Genomic DNA, 15,176 nt, shown 5'->3' with positions numbered 1-15,176 from the left:
ACTGGCAACAGTAAGGTTCTTTTTTGTTGTTGTTGTTGTTTTTTAATCTGGTGGCATTCCCTACCAAAACTTCAACCATAAGGTATCTCAATTTTATTTTTTTACCAAAAAGAATGAGCTTTAAAACCTTAATTTTAACATTCAGTTTTTCTACTTTTCTTGATTCAATAGCATGGTTTGAAAAAAAAAAAAAAGCACAGCCCACAATCAGAGAGAACAGGGTGGAATCCTACCTCTACTGTTTACTAGCTTTATGGCTTTGGGAAAGTTTTTCACTTGGAAAATGGTGATAGTAATGCTTCTTCTAAAGTTGTTTGTGTGAGAAGAAATGAAATAACATGTAAAGTGCAAATCACGATGTGTGGCAAATAGGAGGAGCATGCCCCCCCCCACCTATGTCTTTTTAATGTAGCACTCGGATTTCACTTGATAGGTGAGCACTTCCCCGAAGTATGTTTATTCAGCAATTGAATCAGAAGGAATCTGTGCATCCTTCAGAAGTTGCCTTATTTGTTGACAGGTCTTCACATACTGAGTTTACTCTTCTGCCTTAAGTTTTATTTATGAACAATGGTTGTAGACCAGCGAGCACACACACCTCCCCCCAAAAAAGATGAATTAATCAGGTTCTAGGAAAATACTTCTTTAAAAATACAACATGAACTCTCATTGTGTACAGTGAAGAGAAATCCAGATCACAAACCAGGACACTTTTTATTGCTTTTTCAGTGAACCTTCTTAAATACCATGTAGTGAGCTGGTGTCACTTAATAGAGTACAGCCCTGTGTCTCTCATTTATTTAACAGCTGCTTTACAAACATATACAAAGTAAAGTATCAGAGAATACCTTTTCATTCTTTAAAAATAAAACCAGAAAGTGATTTCCTTACTAATCCAGTTTGGTGGTGTAAGGTAGTATCAAACTATGAAAGGTAAAAAGAACGTCTGCATTGTCTTTGATTTAAAAAATAAAAACTTCATTATTTTGTGTTTATTCCACTTCTACTGATAACTGCACACACAATTACACAAATTTTAGTTATTTGTTGTTTATATTGTTTCAACCTTCTGAAAATTAGAGGTGTATTTCATATGATGTGTTTTTTCAGGCGTTGAAAATCAGTATCACTAAGCTATAGCTATATCTTCATGAAACTTTTTGAGCTGTAATTTTGTGGTTGCCTACTACAACTTAAAGTGATAAATCTAAGATTTTTCTGCCCCCAGTCGCTCAAATTATTGTACTGACCACGTCTTCGTATTTGTTTCTTATTACAGTTTTTTGGTAAAATTTTACGTGATTTTCAAGGGAACAAGTTTTGAAAACCTAGGAAAATATTAATGTAACTTTTGAGAAGAAATGAGTTATGCTTTACTTCCTCAATGATAATAAATTCCTGTCTGTTCTAAGAGGCAATAATGCAGAGTTTTTTCTCATTATAAAACTAAGAGCTTGTGGCCAGGTGAGGTGGCTCATGCCTGTAATCTCAGCCCTTTTTGGGAGGCCAAGGCAGGAGGACCACTTGAGGTCAGGAGTTTGAGACCAGGCTGGCCAACATGGTGAAACCCCATCTCTACTAAAAATACAAAAATTAGCGGGGCGTGGTGGCAGGTGCCTGTAATCCCAGCTACTTGGGAGGCTGAGGTGGGAGAATCGCTTGAACCCAGGAGGCAGAGGTTACAGTTAACTGGGATAGCACCACTGCACCCCAGCCTGGGCAATAGAGTGAGACTCCTGTCTCAAAAAGAAAAACAACAAAAAAATAAAACTAAGAGGTTGTTTATTAAAAAATAGAGAAATATGTTATCACACCATCCTGAGATAGTACTATTAATGTTTTTCTTTTCTCTAAGCAAGCACAGATTTTTTAAAAGGGTTGCCATCATATGTCATATTTTGTAACCTAACATTTTTGTTTATTAACTATATAGTGAACATTTTGTTACATATTAAACATCTTTTGGTTGTGTAGTATTCCTTGTACAGACATCATAATTTATTTAACCAATCCCCTATAGTTGGATATTTACGTTGTTTATAAATTGTTTCTGTTTTAAATAAAGTACAGTAAACATTGTTATGCCCATCTCTTTTTACTTGTATTGGATAAAATCCAATGAGTAGAATTTCTGAATTTCTGGACAAATTGGTATAAAACATTCATATGACTAAATCATTCACTTTTAGAAAGGTAGTGCTAATTTAAAATCTCAACTAGCCCACTTCTTTGCAAACATGGGTAGGTTTTTAGTTTATTAATTTTTATTTTTATCTTATTTTTTATTTTTTTGAGACAAGATCTTGCTCTGTCACCCAGGCTGGAGTACAGTGGCACAATCATAGCTCACTGTATGAACTCGAACTCCTGGGCTCAAAGTATCCTCCCACCTCAGCTCACAAGTAGCTGGGACTGCAAGAGCATGCCATGATGCTTGGCTAATTTTTAAATTTTTTGTGTTGCCCAGGCTGATCTCAAACTCCTGGCCTCAAGCAATCCTCCCACCTTGACCTCCTAAAGTGCTTGGATTATAGGCATGAGCCACCACACCTGGCCCCTCTAATTTTTTTATAATTAATATTATATTTAATATTAATAGCAAAAGTATGTGGATTTAATTTGCATTTTTGTGATTATCAGTGCACTAGAGGATTTTTTTTCTTTTGTCTAGGGAGCAGATTAAGGTTGAATGTTTATAATGAGTCATTTTTCTCTGGTGAATTCCTAGTCATCTCTTTGTCCATTTGGCTCTTATGCCTCCATTTCTTTTACTTCTTTAAGCAAACATACCAGAAAAGTCTTTCTTGGTGTAAAATACAAAAATGTAATATTTGTATAGAAATACTGGCTTACATTGTAAATATTCTACAGGGAACATTTAGTTTATAACTTCTTTACTCTCAAGAATTATATTACCATTTTTTAGTGTTTTGTTTGGATTTATCTCTCTACAAACATAAATGACATTCTAGACTATTCTCAGAATTGGATAGCTCCTTTTTATTAATATGCCTTTAGGAGTCTTCATCTTTAAAGTCAACACTCTTCAGCTAATCACAGATCTAAGCTTACATGAAATCTGAAAATAAACTTTACTGTGTTTTCAGGGTTTGGCCTTAAAGTAATGGTGGATGGCAGATGTAGTTGTTTGACTGTTGTGTTAAACAAACAAACAAATAAAAGGGAAGAGGAAGAGAATGAAAGACCATTTCCTTACCAAGCAATCACACAGTTTATTGTCTAGGAAATAAAAAAGAAGAAGAAGAAAGAAAGGAAAAGAAAGAAAAAAAGAAAAGAGCCAGTTTTGTGTACTGTTGAGCACACAGATGTTCCTCTTGGCAGCCATACAGTACTAGTCAGGATTGGGGTTTCTGCAGACGTAGAATGTGAGGCTTCTTTGTTGGGGACAAAGTGTTGCCTGTGGTGGGAATTGCTGCAGTGATGGGAAAGTATCGTAATGTATTGTTGGATTACTGTGATTTTCAATAGAGACAGTACATTAAAGTAGCTTTGTGGGCAGTGGATTGTTTCAGCCAAGCCTGGCTAATAACACACTCATTTTGGCAAAGTCTATTTAAAAGGTAGAGCTGGCATAGTTTTGTGGTCATGGAGCCTGTCCCATACTTGGGCATTAGAATTACTTTTGCAAGCACTAGTTTTTAACAACCAATTTATTTAATGTAATTCAACAAAAGAGTTTGTGACTGTAAAGTTAAAACTGTAACCACTTTTCAAATGGAACCATTTTTTTTAATAATTGCTAAACTAGTGTTTTTCAGAATTGTTATTGAAATATTTTAATCAGGTTGTTTCTTAACCCACTTGTTCATTTAAGATAAAGTTTTGTTACAAACTAGAAAGTGCTGATTTACATGCTTTACATTTGAGCAGTCTGTGTAAATCTGGAGTGCTTTTTTGTTTAAATATAAATACTATGTTGTGAAATGTTTAACATATATATAAATCTAATCACCAGAAAGCAAAGGTGAGTATTCTTTAATTGGCTTGCCAGTATTATCTGTTCTTGTCTTCCATATAGTTTACTTGAAGTAGAACAATTAGCTGTGTTGTACTGGATGTTAGCCTAGATGTTAACTGTATTTTAAGGTTAAAATGTAAACTTTAAGGATTGAAATTGAATGTTTTTTAGTTCGTCCCTCCTGTCTCCCTTTTATGTTATATAATATTGAATGAATTTTTATGGCCTTTTAATTGCTTACATAAAATTCAAACAGGAAGGGAAAGGAGACTATAAAAATTAGTAAAGGGTGGAAACCTTAAAATCAACCCTAATTAGATGGGGTTGCTGAATTAGAGATTGAACTAATATGTTCATGAAGGTTTAGACTTTGTAAGAACCATAGACATCTAGTCAACCATCTCTTTTGACAAAGTAAGACGCAGAAAAATTAACCAGTAATAACCTGGTTACGAGGAATTGAAACCAGATTACACTGCTCCTAATTCTCACAGCTAAACATTCTCTTTTATTTCCTTCAATCTTGTCAAATTAAACCAACATTCATTTACTGATATACTCTGTCAAAGGATTCATCAGATAGTCACCATGGAAAAACCTAGTTTCTAGTTAGTAAACAAGAAACACAATCATTAAAAGGTGTTGATAACAAAAGATTTCAGTCGTAGTTTCAGGCAATAGTGAGAGTCCAATCTGAGAGCATTACTTCTTTAGTGGCCAAATGAACTGTGCAAACAATAATTATTCTTGAAACTCAGTAAAAGAATAAATATCTTCAGGCTAAGATAGTCAAAGGAACACCTTTTTCACAGTTTATATTTTGGGGTGGGTCTGAATTTTCTTGTCTGCCTCACTGGTGACTTCCAGCTTATTCTATAAAATTTAACATAAATTTCAGCTGTTTTCCCAAGAATTCCTTGATACTTCTTTCCTAATAGAATTTCTTTACATTTACCTATACCACTAGTGTATTTCATTTCATCATGGTTGTCTTTCCTGCTAGACTCTAACCTCATTAAGATCACTGACTTCTTTTTCATCTCCTGAGCATCTCCTTGGCACATAATGTGTGACTAATACATATTTCAAATAAATTGAACATTTGTGTGCAAATAGGCATTCATATGATAATAAGACCTTGTTATGTACAGAGTTTTATCCCCCCAAAATTTATATGTTGAAGCCCAAGTTTCCAGCGTGACTGTATTTGGAGACTGAACCTGTAAGGAAGTAATAAAGGTTAAGTGAGGTCTAAGGGTTGAGGCCCTAATCCAGTGGGATTGGTGGCCTCATAAAAGGAGGAAGAAATGTGAAAGAACACTCTGCATGTGCATGCAGTGAGAGAGGGCCACGTGAGGTCACAGCCTCTGCAAGCCGGGAAGAGAGCCTTCACCAGAAATTGAATTGGCCCGAGCCTTGATCTTGGACTTTCAGCCTCCATAACTGTGAGAAAACAAATTTCTGTTGTTTAAGCCACCCGATCTGTGGTATTTTGTTATAGCAGCCCAAGCAAACTAATATACACATATATAAACAAGCAAATGTAGGAGTACACATTGTTGTAGAAAATAAAAAAGGTCTTGCTTCCCCAGATCCCACTGCACATCTTTGAAAACTTTGTCAGCTGCTTTCTGCCTTCATAAGAATACAATCCTGCCAAGTCAGTTTACCCACCCAGACCACCTTACAGTCAGACCTCCATCAATTCTGATAGGAAGGAGTGGTTTTGTTCCTGAATGAACTGTTTGTTAAACCAAGAAGAATGCGGGCAGTATAGCAAAGCTTGACTCTACCATGGTCCTGAGTGAATTCTGACCAAGACAGACAGCTTTATCAGTGGTGTTAGATCTGGCTGCCGGGAATGTGGCGTGCCAGCACAGCCTCTCTCTTGCTGCAGTGCCTTTGTCCACAGATAAGTTTCCTGATTAGCACTTCACCCTCCCTGCCCAGTGTCTTTCCATCCTTGTCCCTTAGAATTCATTCTTACACAGAGCAGCCAGAGTGATCTTCAAAACAGAAATTCGATCATTCACTTCCCCTCCATAGGCTTTCCAGAGCACCTAAAAGAAACCCCAAACCGTTTACTTTGGTGTATGAAGCCTTACATGGCCTGCCTCCTGCCTTCCTGTCTGACCTGCGAGTCCTGCCAGTACTTTCCAGTCACACTGGCCTTTTGGTTTTGAACGTACCGACTTTACCCTACCGTGAGCCTTTGAACCAACGGTGCTGCTGCCTGAAAAGCTCTGCCCCCATCTTTGCACAGCTGGCTCCTTTTCTTGTCATTAAATGTCCCCTCTTCAGAGATGCCTTCCTTCACCACCCAGTCTACTGTTGTTCCCTAGTCCTCTCTAACATATCACTTTATTTTTATTTTCTGTACAACACTTACTCCTATTTGATTTGGTTGTTTTTTGGTTTATTGTCTCTCTCTTCCTAGCAGAGTGTAAGCTCTAAGAGTACTGGAACCCTTTCTTTCTTCTGTACTTACTGGTTATTGCAGCATCTAGAGCAGTATCTTCCACAGATGGGCCTCTAAAAAACATTTTTGAGTAAATGAATGAACCAGTGAACAAACTGGTAGGCTGGAGCCCCAGGGCCAGGGCAAGTACTCCTGCAGGGCCCATCTTTCTCAAGACTCATATTCTTTTCCCATATCCTCAGTCACTTGGGCCCTGCTGTCAACAGAAAGGCCCTCTACGGCCTAGAGACACACTTTTTCAAAAGTCCGGATGCTGTTGCTTATCCAGTAGATTAGAAGCCTTTAGCTAATTGATACCCACCAAAGTTAAGCTTAATTCATTGAACACAACATCTTTGAAAATTTCCCTGTCAACTATTGTCTACTCCCAACATAGACAGTCCTCCTGCTAGTCAATTAGTCAGCTCCAGTAAACCTTAACAGCCAGACCTACTTTATGACAGAGAGTAGCTAGTTCTGTACCTGAATTATTTCTTTGTTAAATCAAGGCCTATCCTGACTGGACTTTCATTGAGGATTTACTAAGTCTTTTATATGCATTATTTCCTACAATCTTCCCAGCCATCCTATGAGGTAGGAACTACGGTGATTCCTCTTTTACGGTAATGATTGAGGAGCTGAATACCTTGCCTAGGGTTACATAATGATCATAGAGTTGTTCACCTACAAGGAGTGTTCTTAAACACTGTCCGTTTGTTATCCTAGTTTTAATTAGTTCCCACCAGTAAACAGGCTTTCTTTACCCATTAATATGGTATGATACATGCTCTCTGTGCAGAATTCTGCTTTTTCTTCATCTTTTCTTAGAAAGTTAGAAAGCTCCAAGATTTTGAGATCTTTTTCTATGTCATAACCACTGATTTAGGAAGTCCAAATGGGCAAGGACAACTAGATGCAGATAACCTCTATAAAATAGAATTTGATAGGGGAAATGAATGCTTATCAAAGTTAGAGTTTCTATTAGGAACTACTAATTCCTTCTTAATGGTGAAGACAAAAATAAGTCACTATTCTACCCTGTTTTGTCTTACTTTAAAGGCATAAGAATTATTCAGAGATAATTATATTATTCAAAATATGCCTAACACTATTTTTTTGAATTTTATTATTTGAATGTTTTTTCCTGGATAGTAAAAAGTTTAAAATAATGTCATTGTCTAATCTCCAGGAAATTGCCTCAACATCCTATTTCCATCAAAATAAAAACAAAAGCAAACAATAAAGCTCTTATTTACAATTTAAATCATAAAGAGATGGTTTGATATTTTTTATTCAGAAATTCTGAAGTGTGTACTTTTTTTGCAGAATTTTATTTCAAAGATATTTGACAATTGATGATATTTAGAATAAGATATTAGCATTTAGAACAAAGTCACCCTAGAGATACCAGTCTGCACAAAAGCAATTTCTTTTCTCAGATTAGAAGCAAAAATATCATCAGCTTGCATCCTGGTCACTGTGTAGTCACACTCCTGTTTTGACAGGAATGACCCAGAGATTAGGGAATACTTGGAACATTCTAAGTAACACATTGTCAACACCTATCCTGCTCCTCAAGATTTAAAATAAGTGAATGCAGCTTTGAGATTGGAAGCCAGGTTAAGGAGCACATATGGCAGGTGGTGGAATGCAGACTTGTCCAAAGACTTCAGACCCCCAGTTTGCAAAACAAGTTGCAGATGTGTTATATAGCATTTGAAAGTACATATTTACTAAAATCTTCTACAAACGTATAGAATGCTTGCTACATATAGTGTTTAGTGTAGTGCAGTGTTACAAAGTGGAAGTTCAAAAGTACAACACTGACAGAGATTAAAGAGTAACACGGGAACAGAAAACAGTAGCTCCATGTGTCCTCATATAGGAGAAAAGGGTGATTTAGAACTTGCCTACCTAGGGAAGTGATTAATATACTAAAATACCTGTGTTGCCTAGTTAATTAAGTGATCCTCCTATCTGAAACACAACTTAGCTGGCCATCTATCCAGGAAATCATGTCCAGAATAATCTTTAGCTTCAGATTTGAGTCAGATAAAGAAGCTAATTATGCATAATGGATATCTTTATCTGTAATAAGTCAGAGCACCTATGGATGTGGTAAGTCACTGAGAGTGTTGTACTTCATGGTCTACCAGAGTTAAATGATGATAGGTAGACTGAAAGATAATCAGATCTTAAATTTGTTACTGTACACCTGACCTACCTTCTGACTGTTTGGCTGACTGCTCTTTTTTTAATCTGGTTTCCAGCTTTCATGCTTTCTGGTGTCGGAGAACTATTAGGCTTTCTGGGTCACAGAATCATAACTTTTAGAAATGGAAGGATCTTGAAAGTCATCTAATTCAACCCTTACTGAATTCAAACTCCACCATTACCACAAAGGTCATCCATTTTGAAAATTCCCTGTGATTTCCACCATTAATACACAAAAAAACAACCTGTTCCCTTTCCAACCAGTTCTGTTAGAAGTTCTTTCTCGTATTAAACTGCTGTGAATCTGCCATCCTAAAGCTTCTACCCGTTTGTCTTATTTCTGCTTTTGGGGGGGTGGGGGCATACAATATATAGTCACATAAAATAAGTACCGTCACCTTTTTAATATTAAACCCTTGCAAATTCAGACAGGTTTAGGGTCCTCTTGCTGTTTTTTTCCAGTCTGCTAAATGCCTTCCTTCCCTTCAATTCCTCATTCAACATAATACAGTATTCTTTCAGCGTCCTCTTCTTGATAGGTTCCGATTATCAATGACCCTCTAATTGTGTTGCACGGAGCAGGTCACAGTAGTCTAGATATGGTCAGAAAAGTGAAAGGAGATTGAGATTATTATGCAGATTATACATTAGAGAATAGAATATATACTTCTAATTCAGCCTAAAATTACATTAGCTTATTGGGGGAGCAAAACTACATTGTTGATTCTTATTGAGCTTGTGATGATCTAAAACCACCTTCTCACATGAAGTGGCTTTAAAGTGCTTGCTTTTCTGTACTTATGTAGTTGATTTTTATTTTTAATTTAACAGAATTTTCTAGGCTGCAGTACCCTCAGTTTTTAATAAAGAGTATGAACTGTAGTGTTTTTTTGTTTTGTTTTGTTTTGTTTTTTGTTTGTTTGTGAGACGGAGTCTCGCTTTGTTACTCAGGCTGGAGTGCAGTAGCAAAATCTCGGCTAACTGCAATCTCCGCCTCCTGGGTTCAAGCGATTCTCCTGTCTCAGCTTCTCAAGTAGCTGGGACTACAGGCATGCGCCACCACGCCCAGCTAATTTTTGTATTTTTAGTAGAGACAGGGTTTCACTATGTGTTGGCCAGGCTGGTCTTGAACTTCTGACCTCAGGTGATCCGCCCACTCAGCTCCAAAGTGCTGGGATTACAGGCGTGAGCCACCATGCCTGGCCTGTAGTGTTTAATTAACGTACTTAGGCTGGGCATGGTGGCTTATGCCTGTAATCCCAGCACTTTGGGAGGCCGAGGCAGATGGATCACTTGAGGCCAGGAGTTCAAGACCAGCCTGGGCAACATGGTGAAACCTCATCTCTACTAAAAATACAAAAAATTAGCCAGGTGTGGTAGCACACACCTATAATCCCAGCTACTTGGGAGGCTGAGGCACAAGAATTTCTTGAACCCGGGAGGTGGAGGTTGCAGTGAGCTGAGATTGTGCCACAGTATTCCAGTCTGAGTGACAGAGACTGTGTCTCAAAAAATATATATATATATATACTCCAAATTGGGGGTGCAAAGGGCAAATATCAAACACGACCTATGGTCAAGTCACGAACTCTATTCTAAGCCCTGAAAGTCTCTTTTTGTTTTTAATTTAATTTAATTTTAGACAGGTGCTCACTCCATTGCCCAGGGTGGAGAGCAGTGGCGTGATCATGGCTCACCACAGACTTGAACTCCTGGGCTCAGGAGCTCCTCCTGCCTCAGCCTCCCCAGTAGCTGGAACTACAGGCACTCACCACCACACCTGGCTAATTTTTAATTTTTTTTTATTTTGTAGAGAAAAGGGCTCGCTGTGTTGACCAGGCTGATTTCAAACTCTTGGACTCAAGCTATCCTCCTGCCTCAGCCTCCCAAAGTGCTGGTATTATAGGTGTGAGCCACCACGCCCAGCCGAGAGTCTTTTTCAAATCTACTTAACATAAGCCTGGTCAGCATGGGATAGTAGTCTTTGTGCTCCACCCTTTCCCCTTCTGCTCCCTGGTTGACCCTGGTTCTTGTCCTACAGAAAAGGCTATTTAAAGCACTCTGGATTGTGTGGAATCTGCAGCATGGGTCTGATTCTTTTATGAAAGATTTTTTCCTCTCTCTGACCATTGCCAACCTACATACTCTACTGCAATAACAGTCTCTTAAGTATTTGGCTTTCCAAAAGGGATCCATGAAGTCTCATCTCTTGTTGAAAAGACAAAGAAATCACGACAGACCTAAAGTAGTTCTTCCCACTGAGGGAATTAGTGGAATACGACTTTTCCCTCCATCTTTGCCTCCTGGGGTTGAGAGGAGAGGAGAGGGGATAGTCTGTCTAATTGTTGTTGGTATCCTCTTACTTCATATAGGTATTGAACAAGTGTTTATTGAAAATTCAACAATACCTATTTAATAAGTAACTAATTCAGAGAGACAGAAACAAGATTTAACCAAACCTGAAAATAGGTGGTACAACAAATTTTTTAGAAGTTTTCTGTTCTCTTAATGTAGTCGAAAGTGCAGGGGATTAGGAATCTGGAGACAGAGGTTTTACCATGGAAGGACATTATTAAGGACATTTTAGGGATGAGGAAATCAGGAAATAACATTTGCCATCAAGCAGTTGTCAAGCCAAAACTTGACTCTTGTGTATGGAGCAAGTGTTATGTTCTCGAGCATTGTGCTAGTGATTTTGAAAATCTTACGTCTTTTGGTCATGAAAGTACAACCTTAATGACAGTAAACCTTATGTAGCCAAGCTAAAATGATTCAGCCTTTTGTTTAGGTGAAAATACCTGTTAATCTCTTTAATTTTCATAATGGAAAAACAATTTTGCCCTGTCATAGCTGATATTTAAAACACATAGTTCTAACTTTGACCTTCTACATAATGTCTAAACTGCATGCACTTGTAAGGAAATTAAGGCTTGAAGTAAGCAAGATTCAGCCTGGCCCCAAACTACCACAAACCATTTGGAGAATAGCTGCTGAACGCATTAATCAGTGATTTTGTTGAACAGTCGGGAGACCAGACTCATATGGGAAGTGTTTTCCCAAATGTGCGTGAATCTCTAGCTCTACCCTATTGATTTTGCTGCAGCAGGTCTGGGTTGGACCCCAGGCCATCAGTATTTTCTTTTTAAGAAAAACAACTTTAAAAATATTCCACAGATATTCTGTGATAGCTCCCAGCTCAGGCTCCCCACAGATATACCAAGTCTGTCACTGTAAACTACAGAGTAATCTCTGGACCTTATTATCCCCTCCCTCTGCCCCAAATCCCCAAACTCAAAGAATGCCTTCAATGAGTTTTGCTCTCCTGTCATTTATTTTATATATGTTGAAGGTTGCTACTAGACTTGTCCACTTGAATAGTATTCTAGTATCTTTAGTAAAACCATATTTGAAGTGACTGTCCTTTTGGTTGCCTATTGTACTTTATAAATAAGTATTGATGTGGTGAATTATGTAAGCTCCTATTTATTGTGTATTTATTATGTGCCATGCACTTTTCATACCTTAATGCCTTAAGCCTCTTGTCAGACTTGCAAGGTGTTGCATATTGCAGATGAGTAAACAGCCCAGAAAAGGTAGATTTCTTGTACTTGGTCACAGTCAAACCTCTGTGCTACACTGAAAAAACTTGTTTCAGTCAATAAATGTATATATTTTCTTTTCTCTTAAAATGAAAATTGCATACTCCAAAACGTATCCCTTTTTGCTTAAAAGTCATAATACTACTGCCAAGTTTGATCCCAATTTTAATCATCAGCATATTTCAGGTACCTGAAAGCATTTACTCCTTCTGTTTCTTTGGTTTTTTTTCCCCTTTCCATATGTATGTATTCATATTTGACTAGCAAAAAATATTTAGTTTTTTAATAAAAATAGACTTGATATGATGGTAGTTAAGTGACAGGGTTTTCCTTTTCCTCTTTTCTTTTCTCTCTTTTTTTCTTTTTTTTTTTTCTTTTCTTTTCTCTACAGGGTCTTGCTCTGTCACCCAGGCCTGAGTGTAGTGGTGTAATCTTGGCTTACTATAGCCTCGACCAGCCAGGCTCAAGCAATCCTCCCACCTTAGCCTTCCAAGTAACTGGGACCACAGACGCCTGCCACCATGCCTAGCTAATTTCTGTATTTTTTGTAGAGATGGGATTTTGCCATGTTGCCCAGGCTGGTCTTGAACTCTGAACTCAAGCAGTCCTCCTGCCTCGGTCTCCCAAAGTGCTGGGATTACAGGCGTGAGCCACCATGGCTGGCCCTCCCTCATTTCTTGACACATCTTCTTTTGTAACTTGAGAAAAAATTATAACTGTCATAATTGATACCATTTATAATGTATTATATGCATATTCCACATTATTAAAAAATGAAATCATTTACTAGACATTTTTAAATCCTCCATTTTCACATTTTATAAAATAAATCAATGCTTGAACAAGAGACAAAACTTCTGTTTGTGGTGGCACAAAATACTAGCCCGGCAAGGTTAAAAAGAACTTGAAAATTATATATTCATAGTAGAATTTTAGAACAAGATTAAAATCTTTATCCAGGATAATTGCAGTTTGAGGAAATGTGTTTTGGTATATGAACAGTCTCTTTTGCTCATTGCTGTGAGAGTATGTAGATTTCCAACGGGCCAGTTATACATATTATTTGGCCTCATGGTAGGCACAGTCTAGATAGTATTTTTAAGTGATAATCATTAGTTTTTTTTTTTTTCAAAGGACTTTTGGGAATAACTCAGGTAGCAAAAATTATGATTATAATAATTTTTATATCTCAATTTACATCTTCTAATGGCCTGGGATAATAAATTAGGACTTAAGATGTGTGCTGTATTTGAAATTTTAATGATGACTAGAAATATTGGAGAGGAGTAGAACTTTTTGAACACCCTCTCATGTTTATTTTGTTAATCTTGGCTTCTGTGCTTGATGGTGTACAGTACAGATAGTACAGTGATGAACAATATTAAAAAACATAGCAATACTAAAACACATAGTTTAAATAATTAGCCACTTATTCAATAGATTGTCTAGAAATAAGTTAGAGGTTATGTAATGTTACCTGCTTATGATCATCTAGGGAATAAAAACAACAAATGAGAGACTCTTTATAGGCATCTTACAGATTGAATGGAAAGAAGCAATAGACTAGACAGGTCGAGGGAACATGGCAGATGGTACTTTGAAAAAGTGGGGCAAACCTGAAATAAACCAAGTAGTCTGCATATAAAGATTCATTTGTTAATTGAATGTTCAAGATTATTACAGTGTTTTATATAGCTAATAAAAAGGCTTAAAAGTTTGCATTTTGCGTATACAATCAATTTTGCATGTAATATCACTTTACATTGTATCAATTGTAATTGATACAATTGTTTAAAAGTAGAATAAAGTCTTCCAACTGCAAAAGATCTAAGGTCTTTTCTGACCCTCTGCTTTTTAACAATGATGAAATTGAAGCCCAGACAGTTTATTTAAAGAAGAAAATACACACACATTCCTACTTACTCACACACATACACACAGGGACGTGGCTGCTGACTTCACATATAGATTGGTATGACTGTGAGCATTTGTATGAATTAGAAAAATAAACAAATTGATGTTAATTAAACCTTTAGAAATGTTTTTCTTCCTCTTGAAAAAAGAGAAAATGGAAACTTTTCTTCTGTAGTCTTAAAACTCTAATTAAGGAATTGTGAGAAAGCCAGAAAAATATCTGAATGATTTTAACTTAGTAGGATGAAAACATAGATGGTTAATGATTTCAAAAGAACTATTTTAAAACTTCTGAGAATTATGATTACAGCAAGACAGCTAATTTGACTAGCAAAGTCAGAATTCCTCACAGTATTCTCTTTGGATACCGAGGTTCAATCCAAGCTTTGTATTTGTTGGCTTTGTATTACTTAATATGTTTATATCAAAGAACTAGTCAGAGAGATTCTCTCTATTTTAAGTCTGTGAGAACCATCAGTAGCATGCACTGACAGATGTTAAAGAATGTCTGTGGAAAGAATGTCAGAAACCTCTCCAAAGGAAAGTCTTTAAACCATGCCCTTAATACAGAAATGCAAAACCAGATTTAATTGCCCTTTTCCTATACAGCTCAGACATGCAGTCTCGTTTACTGCAGCATATGGCCTGAGAAAGTGCACAGTGGAAGAGAGCAGTCTTGGTAAAGGCTGAGATTGAATCCATTTAGGCTGGAGTTCACAAAGATCAGTCAGAAGCAAGCACTTGAAGTTAAAAGAAACACACCAAGCAGTAAAAACACAGGCTATTTTCGTTTTGAATGTGCTCAGTGGAGACATCCTATTTGCCTTTCAAGACAGCAGTATTCTTTGGTTTTAATAGGAAATACAAGATTTCTGAAAAACTGCTGCCTGGGGGGCTTTTTCCCCAATTAAAAAAAATGTAAAAAATAACATTGCATGAGGCAGTAGATATTGTTTTTAATGATAATTTATTTGAAAGTAGCCATTTTTCTAATGGATAATATTAAAATAAT

At 36.9% G+C, this 15,176-nt stretch overlaps 2 protein-coding genes and 1 long non-coding RNA gene across 4 annotated transcripts in view; 2 read left to right on the top strand and 1 right to left on the bottom strand.

Annotated features, from left to right (window-relative positions):
- The window catches only part of TPD52-MRPS28 (TPD52-MRPS28 readthrough), a 252,848-nt gene that overhangs the window by 232,944 nt on the left and 4,728 nt on the right, over positions 1 to 15,176 (top strand). The window lies entirely within an intron of this gene.
- The window catches only part of MRPS28 (mitochondrial ribosomal protein S28), a 111,543-nt gene that overhangs the window by 91,639 nt on the left and 4,728 nt on the right, over positions 1 to 15,176 (top strand). The window lies entirely within an intron of this gene.
- Positions 7,713 to 15,176, bottom strand: part of LOC124901966 (uncharacterized) — a 39,094-nt gene continuing 31,630 nt past the window's right edge. Inside the window, exons 2-3 of one of the 2 annotated variants that reach the window (XR_007060976.1) lie at positions 12,173 to 12,287; positions 7,713 to 9,244 (exon numbers count right to left, since the gene is read on the bottom strand). This is a non-coding gene — a long non-coding RNA (uncharacterized LOC124901966). The remainder of the gene's footprint in view (positions 9,245 to 12,172; positions 12,288 to 15,176) is intronic. The other variant, XR_007060977.1, reaches the window with a different exon arrangement.

This window comes from Homo sapiens, chromosome 8 (genome assembly GCF_000001405.40).
Source record: "Homo sapiens chromosome 8, GRCh38.p14 Primary Assembly".
In the NCBI taxonomy this organism is placed as follows: Eukaryota; Metazoa; Chordata; class Mammalia; order Primates; family Hominidae; genus Homo; species Homo sapiens.
The sequence above is the reverse complement of the archived record's forward strand: the minus strand, read 5'-3'. Positions and strand labels throughout refer to the sequence as shown.